Genomic DNA, 21,012 nt, shown 5'->3' with positions numbered 1-21,012 from the left:
AATCTTCCCCCAACAACCATCACTAGGTCACTCTGCTTTGGGGACATCAGTGAAGGCAGCTCTTTCAAAGGGAGAGGGAGAAGGAGCTTCCTGGAGATTGAGGGACCAGTTCAGCTCCCATAAAGATGCCTCTCCTGACTTCCACCATAGAGTCCTGTTCACCTTGTCCCAATCAGAAGACGGTCCCACAATCTCAGTGTGCTGTTGAGCCCAACTGTCTTAAGTGTGGGGAGAACAATGTGTACAAACAACATTCATTCCATTCTCCTCGGAGTTTGGAAGTTATCACTTTTTTTTATTTTTCTACAAACTCTCCTGTATGTGCTGTTCCTTTGACTCGTTTCCTTGGTGACAAAGAAAGAGGAATGACGGTGATATCAGAAAGAAGGTACAAGTTGTTTGTTTTCTTTTCACATCCTCAGGGGGGCTGAGGCTCTGGTTAGAAGCAGTCACGACTCCTCCATTCTAAATAACTCACAATGGAGACATATGGACTCTCCTAGTTTTGTTTAATAGGAGAGAGGGAGGGCCCAGGCTGAACCACAGCTTAAGGAGTTTCCCACTGCTACAGCGAAAGACAAGAAACAGTTCTTCAGGCACAAAGCCAAGTTAGATACCTTCCTGGCAAATGGCACATCCACAGTCAGTCTTCTGCAGCCCCAGAACGCCCCAGGTCCACAGTGGCTGCTGGGCCCTCTGGCCACGAGACAATGACCAGCTCACCTGCGTTGGTCACTTGGCTCCTGGCTCTGAGAGGGACGGGGGTCTTCTGCCACTTGGGATTTGCCTGCAAGCACCTGCTGGACCCTCTGCATCCCTGGGAAGGGGAAGTGAGGGGCCAGTTGGCACTGATGGCCACGTGGGTGGGGACAAACAAGCGGAGGCCACAGTGAAGGCTGCAGTTAGGACTGGGCTGGAAAGGCAGGCTGCTCACCCAGGCAAAGCCGGTGGACCTGGTCTGAGAAGACAAAGCGAAACCAACCAGGCTCTTTACACTCGAAGGCCTTGCCAAAGGACAGCAGCACCTTGTTGTCCAAAAAGCGGCGCCAGAGCAGCATTTCCTCCTCAAAGGTGCCCTTGGGCAGGTACTGAGAGGGTGGAAGGGGCTCAGGACATAGCTGAGACCCCTCACCAACTGCCCCTCACCTGCTGGAGGGAGACCTGAAACTCCCTCTCAGCCCGCACCTCCACCAGCATTACCTTTCTCAAGTCAACCCAGATGAAGAAGCCAGCCCCACGACTCAAGAAGGGGATCCCCAATGCCCTAAGCTCTTCTGAGACATAGGTGTGGGCAGCCTTGAGCCGGGCATGGTTTTCCGGCAGGTACACCTGGTTGATCCAGTCTGTTTGGGTGAAAGAGGCCAGAAGATCAATATCCCATCAACCCTCTACTTGGTCCCACTAGTCTAAATGCTGTAAAGAAAAAGGCCACAAGCTGCCAGGATGCTGTTGAGTCCCTCCTCTAGCTGGCTGCTGTGGTGGGAAGGATTACGAAGGGGAGGTCAAGAAGGGATGGAAATGCAGTGTTCAATGTAAAGCACCTTAAACCCAGACACTCAGCCCTGACAGCTCCAGGTCCCACACCCCCTCAGCGCAAAGTCCCCCAGGATAAAGAATCGAACCCAATGTTTATCTAGTTCTAAAGTTCCAGAGTGATGCTCTGTAGTCCCACAGACCAAGGTTCAGATCCCAGTGTGGCCAATGACAAGGGGTGGGTCCTTGGGCAACTTCACCTCTCTGATCCTCATTGTTTGTACTGACTTTTTGTCGTTGTCATACAGTTCTATGAATTCTAATACATGTGTACATTTATGTAACCACCACCATAGTCAGGATGCTGAACAGTTCCACCATCCTAAAGAACACCCTGATGCTGTTGATAGTCACATCTCTGATGTGACTATAAACAGATCTGCAAGCACAGATCTGTTCTCCATCACTACAGTTTTGCCTTTTCCAGAATGTCATCGAATTGGAATTATACAGCATGTAATCTTTTGAGGCTAGCTGCTTTCACTCAGCAGGATTCCTTTGAAATTATCCCATACTGCCACGGATTTTATTGCAGAGTAGTGTTCCATTGAGTGGATGGGCCATGGTTTGTGCATCCACACATCTGTGGAAGGACATTTGGGTTGTTCCAGTTATGGGTGATTATGAATAAAGCAGCAGTTATGGGTGATGATGAATAAAGCAGAGGTTTTTGGGTGACCATCAAGGTCAATATCTAGGAGTAGGATTGTTGAATCACTTGGCAAGTGTATGTTTAACTTTATAAGAAACTGCTGAATTCTTTTCCAAAGTGGCTGAACTACTTACACTCCTACCAGCAGTGTATGAGACTTCCAGCTGCTCCTTATCTTTGTCAACACTTGATGTTGTCACTATTTTTAAAACTTTTAGCTACTATAGTGAGTGGGGTAGTATCTGGTCCTCATTTTCCTCATCTGTAAAATAATAAGGAAAATATAAGAATTCTTGCTTCCTAGGATTCTGGAGTGAATGAGATGATACAGCAGGTGCATTTGCTAGGCTCAGTAAATGGCGGCATTTAAAGGTAACCTTTGCTATTTAAACTCACTATTTGAATCTAGGAACAGAATAGATTCACAGCAAGAGAGATACTTCCTTTAAAACAATTTTCCTTAGAAGCTTCTGCTGTTTTTTGTTGTTGTTAAAGACAAGGTCTTACTCTGTCACCCGAGCTGGAGTGTAGTGGTATGATGAAGGCTCACTGTAGCCTCAACCTCACAGGTTCAAGTGATCCTCCCACCTCAGCCTCCCAAAGTGCTGAAATTACAGGCATGAACCTCCATGCTCGACCCTGCTCTGTTTTTTAGGTGCTCACACAGCTAGTCATAATGAATTCACATTAATCAAGTGCCTATTATATGCCAGGCACTATTCTAATTGAATTACAAATCATACTAACCTGTTACAGGACAGGTACCATTATGATCCCTGTTTTACAGATGAGGAAACTGAGGCTCATACAGATAAAGAGGTGAAGCAAAGTGCCACATGGCCAGGAAGTGGCCAAATAGGGTATGGACCCAGTCGGGGCTCAGAGCTGGCACTCTCAAACATTACCCTAAATTATTCTCATAGGAGAAGTATCTATGATTCCTGGCTGTTCCCAGGCTGCCTCCAACCCTCCTCCCATTTTCAGGTCACCAGGCCCAGGCAGTCACCACGGTCCCGGAGCAGCTGTGCCATCTGGTACTGGACCAAGCCACTGAGGCCGTGGTAGCGGCAGAGGGAAGCCACGGCAGTGGCCACATCCTGGTTTTCTGTGTACAGCGTGCCAAAGCGGAGCCCAGACATCCCGAAGTCCTGCAGGAAGAAGCACCCTAGGCGGTGGCCAGCCCTCCATGGAGGAAGCTGGTTCCACCCACCTCTCTGCCCTCCCACCCTTCTGACACCCCCAAGGCCAGCCAGGAACTCACCTTGCTGGTTGCCCACATCACATGGGTCCTCTGGGGGTCAGGGAGCCTGCAGAGAGCACAGCATGGGAACAGAGGCAACACAGAACTATGGAAACCCACATGTGTTTGGTTGAACAAATGAAGAGATGGGTGGTTGAATCTAGTTTTGGTTCCAGGACAAGCCCTGGTTTCATGTCTTTGAACCACCCATTCCCATGCATCCTTTAGAGCAGGGGTTAGCAAATGACAGCCCGCGGGCCAAACATAGCCTGCTGCCTGTTTCTTGTAAATAAAGTTTAATGAGAACACAGCCATGATCTAGAGCCTAGCTCAAATGTCACTCATCAAAGAGACTTTCCCTAACCACTCCCCCTGGGACCAGGCCAATCAGGTACCCTAAACAGATCCTCTCACAGCTCCCTGGACTCTCCCTTTTAGCATTCATGATGGCCATAATCCAATGGCTGGATGTGCATTTAGCCGCTAAAATGGTTTTTCTGGCTAGAAATTAAAGTTCTACACAAGAAGGGTCTATGTCTTTCTTGTTCACTGTTGTATCTCCAGCACTTAGCACAGTGCCTGCCACGAAATCGATGCTCAATAATTTTTTTTTTAATGACTAACCAAGGATCGTGGACAATCACTTTTTTCTGTGCCTCAGTTTCCTAATCCAAAAAATAGATGAGAGTCACAATCCATGCTCCATCAACTCCTCAAGGCTTTGTGAGGACAAGAAGAGAAGGCTAATGGAAAGGGCTTGGCTGGGCTGAAGGTTCTGAACAAACAGCCGGAACTGTTAGAACCCCTGAAGGTGAGATTCACAGACTACCCACATGATCTGGTCCCCACTTTCTTTTTCTTTCCCGTAGAAACAGAGTCTCACTATGTTGCCCAGGATGGTCTCAAACTCCTGGGCTCATGCAATCCTCCCACCTTGGCCTCCCAAAGTGCTGGGATTACAGGCATGGGCCAGTGTGCCTTGAGGATGATCTGCTCCAAGTGTTCCCAAAGGTATTTTGGCCACAAATGCTTTGCTTACAGTAAACCTAATGAAAAAGCCCAACATTTAAATATCCAGAGGTGTTTGGCACACTCTGTGTGTAAGGGGCTCCAGAGGTGCTGAGTGAATGAGAGCATGAATGAGTAAATGAATGAATGAATAAAACTGGAGCGACTCTGGAGGTAAAGGAAACAGCAAAGAGGCCAATTTGCCATCCACTCAGCCCTAACTTAAGGGATCCTGAGGCCTCTTCTTGGAGTTCTCAGAAATTCCACAGAACAACTTGAAAATCACTAATCTAGCCCAACCGTCCCTGCTTCTCATTAGATCTGAGGACCAGTGGGACCAGCTGGGTGGAAATGGAATTGCTCTGGGCAGGCCATGCCCTGTGGGCTGAGCCAGAAAGTGGCCAGGGCTCCGTGGGATAATAGGGACTGGGGGAGTTAGCTGTGTCAGGGAGCCTCACCTTTCCAGGCTTAGGACACTGCGGTACCCAACAGACTTCTCAAACACGGACAGCATGTAGACCTCATCCACAATCACATGCAGCCTGTGCCTGGAGTGAGGCAGGGGTGGGGAGGAGAGACTTAGTGTGTAGGGCAGATGCGTCCCACAGGGTGGGGAGGTAATACATCAGAAATCCAGAGGGGCCGGGGTCTAGCCCGGGGTTACCAAACTTGTTTTTCCAAGAACACCATTCTTTCTTCTGTTTTTTTCAAACAGAAAGCCACACATACAGAGCAGGTGACAGAGGAGCTTTTGAAGCACTGCAGGGGAGAAAAGGATCTCCCGGGCACCTCCATGGAGGGGCAAGGTCATGCACAAGGGCTCGAGTCGGAGAGACCCAGGTTCAAGTCTGGATCCACCCCTCACTTGACCACTCTAAGGCTCAGTGAGCTGGATGTGATAACAGCATCAGTAGGGTTGTTGTGAGGATTGTTGTAAGGATTGTTGTAAGGATTGTATGAGGGTTGTTGTGAGGATTGTATGAGGCACATAAAGGGTTGTTGTGAGGATTGTATGATAGCATTGTTGTGAGGATTGTATGAGGCACATAAAGTGCTTAGCATGGTGCCTGGCCCCTAGAGTGTGCGCTAATTGATAGCTATTGTTATAAAGAGTGAAAGATAAAGAGGAATGGGCATCCCACAAATCCCTGCTTCCCCGCTCCACTGCCAAGGAAGGGCCCAAGCAAGTAGCAGCCCACAGTGGGGTCAAGAGAGTAGAAAAACCTGCACCAAACCCGCATTGGAACCCCAGGCTGCCCAGACGCTCTGTCGGGGCCAGTGTGGGGTGCCTCACCTCTTGGCAAATACCAGGTACTCCTGTAGCTCTTCAGGGGAGTATACATCACCCAGAGGGTTCTGGGGGCTGATGAGGATGAGGCCTTTGACCTTCACACCCTGAAACCATCCGTTAGGGCAGGAGACCCTCAGCTCTTCCCCAAGGCCAGAGCCACACAGTCAAAGGGGGCTGATCGCTGGAAGGCTCCCAGGGAGATTTGAGGGGGACATGTTCATAACACAACATGAAGCAAACAAGCGGAACACAGAATTACATCTGCAGCATCAGATAAAGGCGGAGGACAAGGCCCAGAGAAAAAATATACCCAAATACCAGTAGGTTACCTTTGTTGGTAGAATTTTGGGTTGGCCTTTTGCACTTTCAAAATTCCTACAGTGAGTATGTATAGCTTTCATGACAGAAGTAAAAAAAAATTAAGTAGATTTTTGAAAAGTAGGCTGGAAAGGAACCACTGGAATACTGGTCTCTGCTCTCCTTTGGGAGTCCTCAGCTCCCCCCACAGTGAGCAAGGTTGCCCCCTCAAACTACCAGGGAGACTTGTAAAACCACAGACTCCTGTACTCCATACTTGACCCACTGAATCATAATCAGATGGATCAGGGATGGGGGTATCTTTAGTGATGCTCCCTGGTTGATTCTCTGTGAACTGAGGTCTGAGAGTCTGTTTTGAAAGGGAAGACCCTCCCTGGGCAGGGTTCTGCCTGACTCCCAGAATAATTCTGTGCTACCACCCTACCTGTCTGTCCCAATCACCGGGTATCAACCCTACTCCCGGGAGGAGATCAGTCACAAGAAGAGGGGTCCAGACCCTGCTCAGACCCACCCACACCCAGCCTCAGGTTTGATTTGATCCCCAGACCTCAGAGTGAGCTTCTCTCAGGGCCATCTCCAGCTTCTCCACTGTGAGCTGGAAGGGGCGTGTGTCTAGCCCAGTGACCTGGAAAAAGACCCATCAGAGCCACCAGCCACATTCAGTGACCATTGCCCCCCAAAATACATATGAACTCTCAGGCCTCTCCTCCCCTGTAATCCCCAGCCTCCTCAGAAGAGTCTCTGGAAAAGCAGGTGGGGTCCCTCCCTCTTACTGCCATCCACCCCCAACCCATCACTTCAGAGACCCCCTCATCACTCTTGGGTGTCATGCTTAGGTCTACCCTGCTCTGTTCCTACCTTGCTGTTTCTGGGTCTGGCTCTTGGCTTCTACATCAACCCCAGGGATCTCAGAGACTGGAACTTTGGAGCCACTGGGGAACCCAGGCACAGGCAGCCATGCAGCAACAGAAGGCTCCATTCCCTACTCATCACAACCCCAGAGCCCTCAGCATGGACCACCCTCAAATTCAGACCCAGGAAACTCTTGACCACAGGCAGGCCCAGGTTCCACCTAGGAAGTCAAGACTCTTACCTCACTGTCCAGGTAGACATAGGCCAGCCGGATGTTGCCATAGAGACACACGTGCTGTGTGATAGCGCCATAGTAAGGGGTGGGGATCAGGAAAGCCTCTGGGGGCAGGAGTGGGCGAGGGCCTGTCACTTTCTGGCCAGAACACCCCAGACCCTCTGTCCACTGTCCCCAGTCCCTCTCCAAGCCTTTAACTTCTTTGGGGACCGTTTGGGGCATACTTGCACTCTTAACTCCCAAAACACTTTGGAAAGCTTGGATCCACTGAGATCAGCCCCTGATATGGTTTGGCTGTGTCCCCACCCAAATCTCATCTTGAATTATAGCTCCCATAATTCCCCTGCGTCATAGGAGGGATCTGGAGGGAAGTAATTGAGTAACGGGGGCAGGTCTTTCCTGTGCTGTTCTGGTGATAGGGAATTAAGTCTCACGAGATCTGATGGTTTTACAGAGGGGAGTTCCCCTACACAACCTCTCTGGCCTGCTGCCATATAAGATGTGACTTTGCTCCTCATTCACCTTCCACCATGACTGTGAGGCCTCCCCAGCCATGTGGAACTGTGAATCCATTAAACCTCTTTCCTTTATAAATTACCCAGTCTCAGGTATGTCTTTATTAGCACATGAGAACAGACTAATACAGCCCCCTTTCTAATTATTAACAGCTAACATTTGCTAAGCATTTACGACGTGATGGGAAATGCACTGAACATTTGTTTCTATTTTATCTCATTTGCTCCTGACAATTAGTCTCCGAAGGAGGTACTATTTATTATATCCTAACTTTATAGACAGGGAAACTGAAGCTTAGAGGGTTCCTGTTATTGATTGTTCTGGAACCGGCAGGAAATTCCCTATTATATCCTTACAATGAATCTCTCTTTCATGGTTCAAATACTGGTTACTACCTCTCTTTGTGTGACTTTGACAAGTTAACCTCCTGTGTCTTAGTCTCCTCATATGTAAAATAGAGATAACCATAGAACCGACCTTATTGAAGTATTGTGAGGATTAAATGAAATACTCTGCATAAAGCCTTAGGCTAATCCCTGGAACACAGTACGTGGTCAATAAATGTTACTAATATTCTCATTATTAATTAAGTTACCATGAATGGGTCTCTTTTCCTTGCAACCAATAACCCCTGACCACAACTGATTCTTAAAACAACAGGCTCTTGCAGCAGGCAATGCTGGCTGGCTGCCCACTCAACAGCCATTCCAATTTCCTTCCATGCTAAGAGAGCACTAGTTTCTTCAGGTATGACCAGCAAGATGTCTAAGGAAGGTGGGCCTTCCCCTGTCCCTGGGGGACAAACCACATCTGGTTTAAGGCAACCTTGGTTTTCTTAGTCCCCTTTGCCAGGGACCATTTTGGAAACAGGCATATGAGTCCATTCTGGTCAGGAAGATAGAAGTGGGCCTCTTCTGGGAAACAGCATCCCCATCCCCATCTCCTGATAAAAAAGAGACAGGCACGGCACGACCACATCCCTTTCTTCCTGCTCTAAGACACACTGTCACGTGAGGACGCGACAGCCACCTTATGAGCATGAAGCAGCCAAGGTCATGGCAGAGAGAAAGCCCAGGACCCTGACATCAAACTAACCTCCCCTGGAACTGCTGACCCCCGGGTGCTTTGTCAAGCCACTTATTCAAGCCCCCTGCAGTCTAGTATATTCTATTGTGCCCGAAAGCATACTATTGCAGCCCTTGAGGCCAGGCAACTGGGAACCCTGCAAGCACAATGAGGCTCACAGTGCGGGGCAGGCCACAGAGCTCACTTACCCCCGGCCTCACACAGCACCGTGGCCAGAGCAGAGAAGAGCGAGGCACCACCATTCAGGACAACCACCTAAGGGCGACATATCCAAGGGATGAAGATGAACCAGTTCCAGGAGTGTGCACGGACCCGCAGCCTCCCAGGACAGCACAGAGTGAGCGCCAGGCCCTGCCTTGGTGCCACCTGAGGCTCTGTCACAACAAAGCCACTAGACTGACAGCCAAGCTCATCCGTGTGGACCCTGCTCCAGATCATCTGAGCCAGGAAGAGGGGGCTGGTCATTTAGAGGGTCTCGCCTGAAGGTGTGGAGGCAGAAGGCCCACAGAACAACATGGGGTGGAAATTATACCCAAACTTTAAACATCGAGGAGGGAGAAGGTATTCCTAATTCTACTCTGAAACAAGTCAAAACTATGTGAAGGGCAGATCTCAACCCCAGCTTACTCTCAGGCCAGCCCAAAGATGGGGAATGGAGGCCAGGCTCAGTGGCTCAGGCCTGTAATCCCAGCACTTTGGGAGGTCAAGGCGGGCAGATCACCTGAGGTCGGTAGTTCGAGACCAGCCTGACCAACATGGTAAAACCCCATCTCTACTAAAAATACAAAAATTAGCCGGGCGTGTGGTGCATGCCTGTAATCCCACCTACTCGGGAGGCTGAGGCAAGAGAATCACTTAAACACAAGAGGCAGAGGATGCAGTGAGCCAAGATGGCACCATTACATTCCAGTCTGGGTGACAGAGCAAGAGTCAGTCTGAAAAAATAAAAAAAATAAAAAAAAAAAAAAGAGAAGGAAGGAAGGAGAGAAAGAGAGAGAGAGAGAAAAAGAAAGAAAGAAAGAAAGAAAGAAAGAAAGAAAGAAAGAGATGGAGAGGGGAGGCAGGAGAACAGGAAGGAGCAGTGGAGGGGGCCACTCACATTCTCTGGTCTGAGGGGTACTGGGCTCTTGCAGTAGAAAGACAGGAACTTGGCCACTTCCTCCCGGAGGCTGAAGATAAGACAAAAAGACAGTGCTTGCCAGATGGTCCCCAACCCACGGTGCATCCTGAAGCTCCTCTGGTGAATCCTCAGGCAGCTGCCATCACTCTTCCCTAATTTCCCATGATGGGGTGTGGGTGTATCTGTCTCCACTCCTTAGCACCCACCTTCCCCTCCCCAGTACCCACATGCATTGCAGAGGACACCCCACCCCACCTAATCAGGAGACTTCAGGGATTATCAAAAGTAACACCCTCCATGGAGATCTAGCTAATTATACTAATAAACATTATTACTACAACAACAACTATTGGCACCATTATTGTTGCTCATATTTTTTGAGCATTTACCTTCTATAAATGTTATTTAGAAAATTTTTACTTACTCTTCATAATAATCCTATGATGCGGCTACTACTATCATTATTATTATTATTCCCATTGTACAGGCAAAGAAACAAAAACTAAGATTTAAAGGAATTAAGTCACTTGCTGGTAAGAGGCAAAGTCCACACTCAAGCCCAGTGGTCTGACTCCAGGGCCCACCACCCTGATTACTACACTAGAAGAACACGTGCTTTACAATCAGTCTTGGGATCAAGTCCTGCTCAGCCGCTGAGCCCTTAGAACAGTGTCCACAAGCAAGTGTTCAATAAGCACAAGCTATTAGTGTTATTTACCACCTCCCCTCTTAGCATTAGGAAAAGGCCCCAGCCAGCTCCCCGAACAGCAATTCTGGCTTCTCTAAAGCTACCATCAAAGCAAGGACAAAGACTTCTCACCTGAAGGCCCTCCCCATGCTTTAAACCCAGGTTCCCAGAAACCAGACTAGCGAGCTCCTGTGCTGAGGTGGGACTGGCAGGAGACCCCATAGTCGCCAGGTCTCCAGGACTAGGCCCTCAGCCTGCCACTACTGATGTTCGGGGCCAGGTCATTCTTCATTGTGGGGGCTGTCCTGTACATTGTAGAACTTTAGGCAGCATCCCTGACCTCTACACACTAAATGCCAGGAGCACCTGACTTCCCAGTTATAACAACCAAAAATGTCTCCCAACATTGCCACACATCCCCAGGGGGACAAACTCACCCTATGGCAACTACTTACAACAGATGTCCCCTCCAGTCAGCATACTGCAGCAGGGATGGCTCCACCCTCTGCATGTCGCGCTGACTCAGCTGGGGACAGAGAGGGAAGAGCACGGCTGAGGGCCAGCACTGCTACCAGCATCCACAGCACAGGGCAGGTAAAGCTGAACGCTTGTTCTGCTCATCAGAGAAACTGCGAGAGGGGCAGAGAGTGACAGCTTTCTCATACCCATGTTGCAGGTGAGGAAACTGAGGTCCAAAAAAGTGAGGTCACTCAGCCAAGGTCACAGAGCTAGCAAGTGGCAGAGCTGAGACAAAAACCCAAAATTTTTGACTCCTAGTCTGGCATTCTTTATACAACACTGCCACCTAAAAAAATCGGAGGGGTGGGTTTGCAAAAGTATTAACGGAAGAGCACACTGATCAGCATCTCCATGGGGTGATAGAAGATACTGAGAGCTAGAACCTCAGTCTTGGCTCCAACTTCTAGAGGGACTTAGGCCACTGTCTTCCTGCAAGCTCAGCTCAACCTCACACTTTAAAAAAAGTAGCAGTTTCTAGACCACCCATTCCATGACCAGTGCTAGGTTAGAAACTCCTAGTATTGTAGGTCCTTTGTCAAAGAAGGGCCAATGCAGGGGCCTTACGCACTGGGGCCAAAAGGAAGAAAGGGAATCAGCCACTTCTACATAACTGGGTCCAGCCTTTGCCCTCTCTCCCTTCCTCCCTTAGAGCCACACTGTCCAACATGGTAGCCACTGGCCACATGTGGCTAATGAACATTTGAAATGTGGTTCATCTGAATTAAGACACACTGGATTTTGAAAACTTGGTAGGAAAAAAGTATGTAAAATATATCATTAATAATTTTTGTACTGATGACATGCTAAAATGGTCATATTTTGAATATATTGGGCTAAATAAAATATATTATTAAAATTAGTTTTTACCTGGCATCTTTTTATTTTTTTTAATAGAAAATTTAAATTGATATATGTGGCTCACCTTTTATTTCAGTGCTTAGCTGCCTTAGAAGGAGGAGCTGGCTTTAGGTAAAACAGGCCTTTAAAATCTATTCCCTGGCCGGGTGCAGTGGCTCACGCCTGTAATCCTAGCACTTTGGGAGGCCAAGGCGGGCGAATCACAAGGTCAGGAGTTCGAGACCAGCCTGGCCAAAATGGTGAAACCCTGTCTCTACTAAAAATACAAAAATTAGCCGGGCATGGTGGTGTGTGCCTGTAATCCCAGCTACTCAGGAGGCTGTGGCAGGAGAATTGCTTGAACCCGGGAGGAGGGGGTTGTAGTGAGCTGAGATCACACCACTACACTCCAGCCTGGGCAACAGAGTAAGACTCCATCTTAAATAAATAAATAAATAAATAAATAAAATCTATTCCCTATAACCCCTTCCCCTTGGGGTTGAGATTTCTCCCTTTGGAAATATGTTCCTTTGGGTTAAGGATTGCTGTCTCTACAAACCCAAACTCTGCCACTGCCGCCTTGGGAGACACATTTATTAGGCATTGTCAGTGGTTGCTAAGATGGCTTACCACAGCTCAAGAAATCGGATTATAAAATTTTCAGAAATGTTGCAAGCTGTGTTAAAAACAGCCACTTTTAAAAAGCAAATTAATATAAACTGACAATGAAATACATTATCTTACAAACAAAGGTGATAAGCACTCAAACGTCACTGCTTCCTGATTTGCTAGTACCTTTTACTATCTATGTTTTTGAGGTCAGTTCTGTCTACATGTCTATATGGTGAAAATATTACATAAGTGTGCCCATGCAGCTCTCTTCCAACTCTGCCTGCAGTGATATCACATAAGGAGCTTGAAATCAGCCATGGTGGGAGTATTTACACTACGGAAATTGGCAAAACTACACATCAGGCTTTTTTTGTCCCCCTGAAGAGCTAATTGCTAAATACCTACACCACAAAGCACTGAGTGTTTCCCTCTGAGATCAGGGGACCCAACACAGCAGGAGGGACTGAGTGAAATAAGAGTCTACAGAGATGAAGAAATAGGACTACAGTGGGGAAGAAACTCACCTAAGATCACACAGAAAACTGTCCCAAGGTAGGCCTGGAACCCGGGTCTCCTGATTCCCAGGCCAGGGCCACTGAGCCAAGCAGCAGGCTCCTGTTGGGAAAGCATTCCAGGGAAGACAGCTCCTCGGAGCTGGTGATGCCCCCTAGAGGGGCCCTAGGACTTACCCGCCAGGACAGCAGGTCAAAGCAGAGTTTGTTCTCACTGGTGCCCAAGTTAATGATGCCCTGGAGATGAGAGGTACAGAGGCAGAGTTAGCATGGCAGGGGGGTGCCAGTGAAAGGCCCCAGGAGCCCATGGAGGCAGCAAAGCAAAGTGGGAGCTCTCTACAATCCCACCCTTTCAAACATCCCTCCTTGCCTTTGCTCAAGGTGTGCCTTCTGCTCAGCTGCCTGATCCCATCTTCCCATTTCTAAAGCTCTGTCCAAATGCCATGTCCTCCATGAAGTCCCCCCTATAACCCCACCTGGAAGGGATACATTCTTCTGGATCCCATAGCTCTTGATCTGTCCCCTTTAGAGAACTGGTCAGTTTCCACCCCAGGTCACAGGGACTGAGGTACACACCGTATCTCCCGTACTGAGGGTAAGCTCCCTGAAGGACAGATGTGTGCTGAAGACACCACTGTTTCTCTCGAGGGGTTTAGTGGGACTCAATACACATTTACAGAATGAAAGAATAGAGATGGTATATTGGCAGTCTGGAAGGAACAGAAGCAAAGGTAGATGTAGATCAAGAAGAGGTTCCTTTGCCAGTGCAAATACTCCCCCAGGAGACCCTGCAACATCACACAATACCTTGATCCCCACCCCACAGGCATTTATTGTCATAGGATAGGCAGGCAGGCATAACCCAAGCTCTCCCTTACAGAGTCCCCAGGGAGACTCGGTGCAGGCCTCACGCACAGCTAACTGCTGACCCCTGAGTTACTGCAGGGGGAGTGAAGGAAGGAAGATGAAAAAGTAAAACCTGAATGAGCTCAGGCTATGACAAAATAAAAGGCAGTGCTCCTTCACGACCTGGTAAGCAAGCTGGGAAGCTCCTCGAAACAGAGCCAATCTGTCCACACATCCTGGCAGCTCTACCTTCAAAACACATGCACAGTCCAACCATGTCTCACCCTCCACTGCTGGGACCCTGGTATAAGCCACCATCATTTCTTGTCTATATTATTACAACAGCTTCCCTCCCCTCTCTCTGTGTACTGTCTCACCTGCCAAGTCAAATCTCCATACAGCAGTCCAAGACATCTTTCAAAACCCAAATTCAGACCACACTGCTCCTCCTTTGAATACCTCCTATTCCACTTTGTCCAAAATCAGAAGGCTCACCAGGTCCTGTGGGGCCCTACAGGTTCTATCACCTCCACCACCCCATCCTCTTTCTGACCCCATCGCCTGCCCATCTTGTTTTTGGCTTTATTCCAGCTCCAGTAGCCCCTCTGCTGTCCCTTGAACTCATCAAGCATGATCTAACCCTGGAGCCTTTGCACTGGCTGTTTCCTCTGCTGGGAATGCTCTTCCCTAGATAACTGCATGGCTTACTCCCTGTGATGCGCAGCCTGTAAGGCCTACTGGTATTCACACCCCTTGAGTATGGGCTGGGCCTAGCAACGTGCTTCTAATTAACAGAATAGGCAGATGTGATGGGATGTCACTTCCAAAGTTAGGTTATAAAGAGTCTGTGGCTTTCCATCTTGGGTACCATGACCCAAGTGATTCTCTCTTGAATCACTTGCCCTGAGAGAAGCCAGCTACCATGCCATGAGGCAATTCTGTGAAGAAGCCCACGTGGAGAAGGACTGAAGCCTGCCAATAAGCATAAGAGTGTCATTGGAAGTAGAGCCTCCCACCCAATCCCTTGGCCCCAAGTCAACCTTTCAGATGAGACCACAGCCCCAGCTTCATGGCACCTTCACAAAAGATCTTGAGGCTGGGCGTGGTGGCGTGGACTGGCACGGTGGCTTGGCCAGGCGCGGTGGCTCATGCCTGTAATCCCAGCACTTTGGGAGGCGGAGGCAGGCGGATCACCTGAGGTCAGGAGTTTGAGACCAGCCAGGCCAACATGGCAAAACCCTGTCTCTACTAAAAATACAAAAATTAGCTGGGCATAGTGGCACACACCTGTAATCCCAGCTACTCAGGAAGCTGAGGCAGAATCCCTTGAACCCGGGAGGCAGAGGTTGCAGTGATCCGAGATCATGCCACTGCACTCCATGGGTGTCACAGCGAGACTCCGTCACAAAAAAAAAAGAAAAAGAAAAAGGAAAAAAAAGATCTTGAGCCTGAGGCATCCACCAGGATTCCTGAACTCCAAAAATTGTGAATTGTTGTTTTAACTTGCTAGATTTGAGGTCATTTGTTATGCAACAATAGATAACTAACACAATCCCTCACTTTTTCCAGGTTTCTGCTCAAATGTTCATCTTATTAAAATAGCCTTCTGTGACCTCCTTCTACTAAATAGCAACATCCCCAGCCCACCCATCTTTCTCTGTCTTCTTTAACCTGGTTTATTTTTCTCTATAGTACTCACCACCATATAGTATACATATATTTTCTCTGTTCATTCACTGTTTGTCTCCCTAACTAGAATATGAGCTCTATGAGGATAAGAACTTTGTTTCTGTTCACATCTACATGGTAGATGCTCAACAAATAAAGATTATTAAAGGGTTATTTGTAACAGCTTTCTGACTTCTGAAGGCATTATGAGAATAGCTTATATTTGGGACAGAAAATAATAATAGCAGCTATCATTTATTGAGTAGCACTGTGCTAAAAACTTCATATACTTGCTCTCATTTAATCTTGACTCTTCTACACAACAGGTATTATTATCCCATTTTATTTTATTTTTGTTTGTTTGTTGTTATTTTGAGATAGGGTCTCACACCGTTGCCCAGGCTAGAATGCAGTGGCATGATCTTGGCTCACTATAGTCTCAACCTTCCAGGTTCAAGCAATCCTTCCACCTCAGCCTCCCCAGTAGCTGGGACCACAAGTGCACGCCACCACACCCTGTTAATTTTTTTATTTTTACCTTTTTGTAGTGATGGGGTCTTGCTATGCTGCCCAGGCTGGTCTCAAACTCCTGGCCTCAAGTGTTCCCTCTGCCTCAGCCTCCCAAAGTGCTGGGATTACAGGCATGAACCACCATGCTTGGCCTTATTATCTCATTTTAGAGATAACTTAAGATTCAAGGAAGTTAAGTAACTAGCTCAGCAACACACAACCTATAAGTAAAACAGTTGCAACCTGAACCTTAGTTCTGCCCTAGCTCTAAAGTTGGATAGTCGACAGGTCGTGGGTCAGAATCCATAGAACATCATATGGTTCTTGAATTCCTCCCTCAGAAATCAAGGTCCCCTATATTCTAAATGGACCATTTCCTGATCCAGGCAGTACACTGGGGCCTCTCTAAGCTACATCAGAAGCCCTCTTGGAGGTCAGAGTACCATAACTCCAACCTCATAAGAGCAGGCTGGATGCTGCCTTATTGGTCAAGGTAGGGTACCCCACCCTGCAGTTCTCTCTTGGGTCCCAGTGGGAGGGGAGCTTCACTCACACTGGGGTTCTTGTCCTCATCATACTCATCCATGTGGTAGGTCCTGTAGCCCTCCTCAGCTGAATCCCAGAACCATTTAATCATTCTTCCTCTAGAGGACAGGTAGGAGGTATCAGAGGAGATCATGGCAGGATCACCCACTCCACGGAGCTCTGGCAGCTTCTGGTCCAGTTTTCTGGAGCATTCTCCTTCCAGATCTTCCCCATGGCTACTGCCCAGGTCCTGCATGCAGGTGGGGCCCAGACAGGTGGTGGGAGCCCTGAAGTCCTTTTGAGGAAGGGTGAACATCTGCAAAAAGACAAAACGCACAGGCCTGCTCAAGGGATTTCCATAGCACCAAGCATCAGAAAGGAGTTGGAGTCATGGGAGTCCCCTTTCTCTTATCTGCCCCTTCCTTTAGGTTTATGCACTCATCACTTCCTGTGTCCCTTAGCTGTAACCATATGTGCAACGACTTCAACAAGAAAAATCTGTTAAGGACCTAGTACGTGCCAGGGACTGCACTTGCCACATTGACGTGACTTTAATGTATTGCTGCTTTAGCGTGTTCTACTTCTGCAAAAGTTTTTCACTCTCCAGCCTAAGGGGTCATCAACATTCTTTTTCCACCCTTGCTCACCTCAATTACCAAATGCCAGGTTAAAATTTCCTGAGTTAAAGCAGAGTATTGCCTGGGAGTCCTGGGGGTCTTGTGGTGTAAAGGGTAGGATGAGATTATGTGGTGTTCTGAGGCAGATGGCGGGTAGGAACTGAGGGAAGGGAGGAATGGGAACCTCCACAAGTGCAGGCAACCCAGGCAGAGCTCCAGGGCCTGCCTCTTCAGTCCTGAAGAAACGAGGTGTGGACACCAAGGAGAGGGTGGTCTACTCCTGCCCGCGGGTGTGAACTCCTTCACTTCTCTAAGCCAGTTTAGTTTCCTCATCTGCACAGTGGATATAACAGTAACCACCTCGGGGTGGCCGTGAAGACATAAATATATATGTTAGTGACAATAAAGTACTTAGAACAAATCCTGGCTGATGACCAAAGTTCAATAAAATATGAGTCATTATAGCGTAACTCCTTGCCAATTTTCCCAGTCCTGATGCACAACACAAGCTCTGGTAACACTGGGCGCACCATAAACTCAGCGGGTACCCGCAGTTAAATTTTCCTCCGCAAAGTCTTCTCAGGGGTACTCTTTAAATTGGCTGGGCTCTCCCAAGAGCGCTCACCTCCAGCTCTCCCGACAGCCCAGGTCCGAGGAAGGGCAGCACAGTGGGCGGAAGCCGGGGTGGGAGTAAAGCCTGGGGTAGGGGGGCGGCGGGGTTCGAGCCTCCAGGCGTCCAGCAGGACGGCGGCGAATCCACAGCCAGATACCCGCACTCGATGAGGCCTTGGAATCCCGCAAGTGGGGCGGCTACCGCGCACGAAGAACCGAAACGGCCTTCTACAGGGCGGAGGACGTCTCGCGAGAGACGGCTCCAGGTTTCCAGGCAGAGGAAGTGTGATCGGCGCCAAGGGATTCGAGATGGAAGGGCAGAGGCTTTTGCAAAGTGCACAGAGGGAGGCCTGAACGGCTTCCTCCTCTGCAAAGTAGTGGATCCCACCTACTTGGCGGAGCTGGAGGAGGCGGTGCTGGCACTCGGTGGGCGCCCATCACGTGTAGGTTTTCTCCGCCCGGAAACGCCCTGCGGCGACTTACGCGTGGGTGAGGACAGCGCCCCCCTGCGCTCAGCGCGCCCGGACTAGGAGACTGAGGGCGGTCCGCACCGGGTTGGGCTTCCAGGCCTGTTCAGGGCGCAGTTCGTCCCCTTGCCACTCAGGCGGGGGCGGTCTCGGCGGGGACTACGCTTTAAGGGTGGCACACGAGGTAGCACCGCGGGACCAGGAAAAGGGAAAGGGGCGTAATGCCGTTTCCCACCTCCACTCTGGGTGGCCTGCGCGTGCTGGGCCGCCGCCGGGCCGGGTCTGCCACCTCCTTCTGCCTCCTGGCCTTGGTTCTCCAGTTTTCAAAGGAGGTTAGAGCCACAGAAATTTCTTGCCAAAGTATGCTTGGCTGCGGCCCACACAAAGGGCTTTTTAGATTCGGGTGTGAGCATCCTTATGGCCTTTCATCGCAGTTTGTCATTTCTGCCCCTTTCATTTGTAGGGGATTTTCTGTAGCCCTCATAGGTTCTTAGTTGGGGGAGACTCCTGTTACAAAAGACAAATTAACAAGAGAAAAACAGACAGAAATTTACTGACATGTGTATTTCATTTATACATGAGAAATCTGGAGGGAATGAGTCGTTCTGGAAGAGGTGACTTTGAATTCCAGTTTTTATAGCATCTTCAACAAAGAACAGTAATTTTTTTAAGTTACAAGACAAAGAAATAGGGCTTTGAGTCTCTCCAGGAGGCAACTTGTGAGAAGGCAAAAAAAAAAAAAAAAAAAAAAGACAAAGGCCAGTTAGTCAAGCTTGTTAATGTAAATTCCTCTGGTACCATCTCCAGGCCATAGGGGTCTAAAGTTGTCTTTGTTCTCCTAGGTAGACAGAGGGACAGGATACCTTTTGTCTTTGTAAACCTGTGTCCTACTTTTAGGCAAATAGGGCCAGGGTAGAGAGCTTTCCTGAATGTGCTGCTGCTTGTCTTTAGCACAATCCTTCATGTTTTGGGGAGGCATGTCCTGGTCTCCCACACGTGCCTGCAATATTTGTTGAACTCTGGCTAGGTGTGGCGGCCCACGCCTGTAATGCCAACACTTTGAGAGGACAAGGTGGGAGCATCCCTTGAACCCAGGAGTTTGAAACCAGCCTGGGCAACATAGAGAGACCGTGTCTCTACCAAAAAAAGGTTTTTATGTTTTTTTGTTTTTTTGAGACGGAGTCTCGCTCTGTCATCCAGGCTGGAGTGCAGTGGCACAATCTCTGCTCACTGCAACCTCCGCCTCCCGGGTTCAAGCAATTCTTTTGTCTCAGCCTCCCCAGTAGCTGGGACTACAGGCACGCACCACCACGCCTGGCTAATTTTTGTATTTTTAGTAGAGATGGAGTTTCACCATATTGTCCCGACTGGTCTTGAACTCCTGACCTCGTGATCTGCCCGCCTCGGCCTCCCAAGTGCTGGGATGGCAGGCGTGAGCCACTGCACTCAGCCAAAATGTTTTTGTAAATTAGCCAGACTTGATGACATGTGCCTGTGGTTTCAGCTACTTGGGAGGCTGAGGTGGGAGGATCACTTGAGCCCAGAAGGTAGAGGCTGCAGTGAATTTGATCGTGCCACTGCACTCCCACCTGGGTGTTTGCGAGACTCTATCTAAAAAAAAAAAAAAAAAAAAAAAAAAATTACATACACACACACACACACACACACACACACACACACACATATAATTTCAAAAGTATTTTTCAAACTCTGCCCTAAGCTCTACATATTCTGGCAATGGGTACAGTGGGCACCCAGGTCCCAGGTAGAGCTGCAGTCTCTGAGGTGCCTTGAATGGGAAAGTCTTCTTTCCCCATGAAAGGAAATAAGCAGAATCTCTCAATACAGGTATGGCTGGGAAGACATGGCTGTCTTCTGGCCATTCCACTTCTTGTCTTCACTTTTGCCTTGCACTAGCTAACACTGTGACCTTGAGCAACTCTCATGACTTTTTTGGCCCTTACTGTTTTCTTCTGTAAGATAAGGAAGCGATTATTTTCCTCTATTTAAATCTTAATTCTATGTAATTCACATCTCAGTGAATGCCTGTTATGTGCCAGGTCTCTGTAAAATGCGAGGATACGGTGATGAGCAAGACAAACCAAAGCCTGCATGATTGATTGGGAAGGCCGACTTACAATGTGGGGACTATTTTAAAAAGACTATTTACTGGGTACCATGGAAACATGCAGCAGGGGGATTTAACCCCACGAAACAACAAACACAGGCACTTGTCCTAAGTGGAAGACATACACACACGTTACATTAAATGTGAATTGACTAAAGATCAATTAAAAGATCATCAGACTGGATAAAACAGCAAGAATCAAGCATATGGTGTGTGCAGGAGACACACTTTAAATACAAAAACAAATGGTCAAAGGTAAAAATGTGAAAAAAAACAAGCAAATAATAATCATGAAAAAAGCTGATGTGTTCATATTGGTATCTGATAGTAGGCTTCAAGACAAAAATAATTAACAAAAATAAAATGGGGCATTTTAGAATAAAATGATTAATTTATCAGGGTGACAATCTTAAAAGTTTATGCTCGTAATAACAAAGCTTCAAAATACATGAAGCAGAAACTGACAGAACGAAAAAGAGAAAAGACAAGTTCATAATAATTGGAAAATTTTATACCACTCTCTCGGTGATAGAACAAATGGATCAAAAGACACTAAGGATCAGAACTTTTGGACATTATACAAAAATTTAATCTAATTGACATTTATAGAACACCATCCC

The 21,012-nt window shown here is 48.2% G+C and overlaps 1 protein-coding gene across 17 annotated transcripts, besides 3 other annotated features; it reads right to left on the bottom strand.

Moving 5' to 3' along the window:
* Positions 1–274: 274 nt before the first annotated feature.
* Positions 275–18,242, bottom strand: ACCS (1-aminocyclopropane-1-carboxylate synthase homolog (inactive)). 17 transcript variants are annotated; one of them, XM_005253170.4, is made up of 15 exons: positions 17,216–18,242; positions 16,597–16,884; positions 13,197–13,256; positions 10,995–11,065; positions 9,831–9,900; positions 8,920–8,986; positions 7,136–7,233; positions 6,590–6,667; positions 5,728–5,828; positions 4,892–4,981; positions 3,447–3,492; positions 3,192–3,333; positions 1,201–1,343; positions 935–1,088; positions 275–817 (listed from the first exon to the last, which is right to left on the bottom strand). In XM_005253170.4, the coding sequence occupies exons 1-15, from the start codon at positions 17,516–17,518 to the stop codon at positions 720–722; spliced, it is 1,809 nt and encodes a 602-aa protein (XP_005253227.2). In that variant the 5' UTR covers positions 17,519–18,242; the 3' UTR covers positions 275–719. The 17 variants fall into 17 exon arrangements, 13 of the variants coding, with proteins under 13 accessions (XP_005253227.2, NP_115981.1, NP_001120691.1 ...); NM_032592.4 differs by having other exon boundaries at positions 17,811–18,242; NM_001127219.2 differs by having other exon boundaries at positions 18,190–18,242.
* Positions 18,073–18,262: an enhancer, noted in NCBI's record as "active region_4649". NCBI's record gives its function as "activates an Ori minimal core promoter by ATAC-STARR-seq in GM12878 lymphoblastoid cells {active_cell/tissue: GM12878}" and the evidence as "EXISTENCE:reporter gene assay evidence [ECO:0000049][PMID:35858748]".
* Positions 18,283–18,372: an enhancer, noted in NCBI's record as "active region_4648". NCBI's record gives its function as "activates an Ori minimal core promoter by ATAC-STARR-seq in GM12878 lymphoblastoid cells {active_cell/tissue: GM12878}" and the evidence as "EXISTENCE:reporter gene assay evidence [ECO:0000049][PMID:35858748]".
* Positions 18,473–18,602: an enhancer, noted in NCBI's record as "active region_4647". NCBI's record gives its function as "activates an Ori minimal core promoter by ATAC-STARR-seq in GM12878 lymphoblastoid cells {active_cell/tissue: GM12878}" and the evidence as "EXISTENCE:reporter gene assay evidence [ECO:0000049][PMID:35858748]".

This window comes from Homo sapiens, chromosome 11, assembly GCF_000001405.40.
Source record: "Homo sapiens chromosome 11, GRCh38.p14 Primary Assembly".
In the NCBI taxonomy this organism is placed as follows: Eukaryota; Metazoa; Chordata; class Mammalia; order Primates; family Hominidae; genus Homo; species Homo sapiens.
The sequence above is the reverse complement of the archived record's forward strand: the minus strand, read 5'-3'. Positions and strand labels throughout refer to the sequence as shown.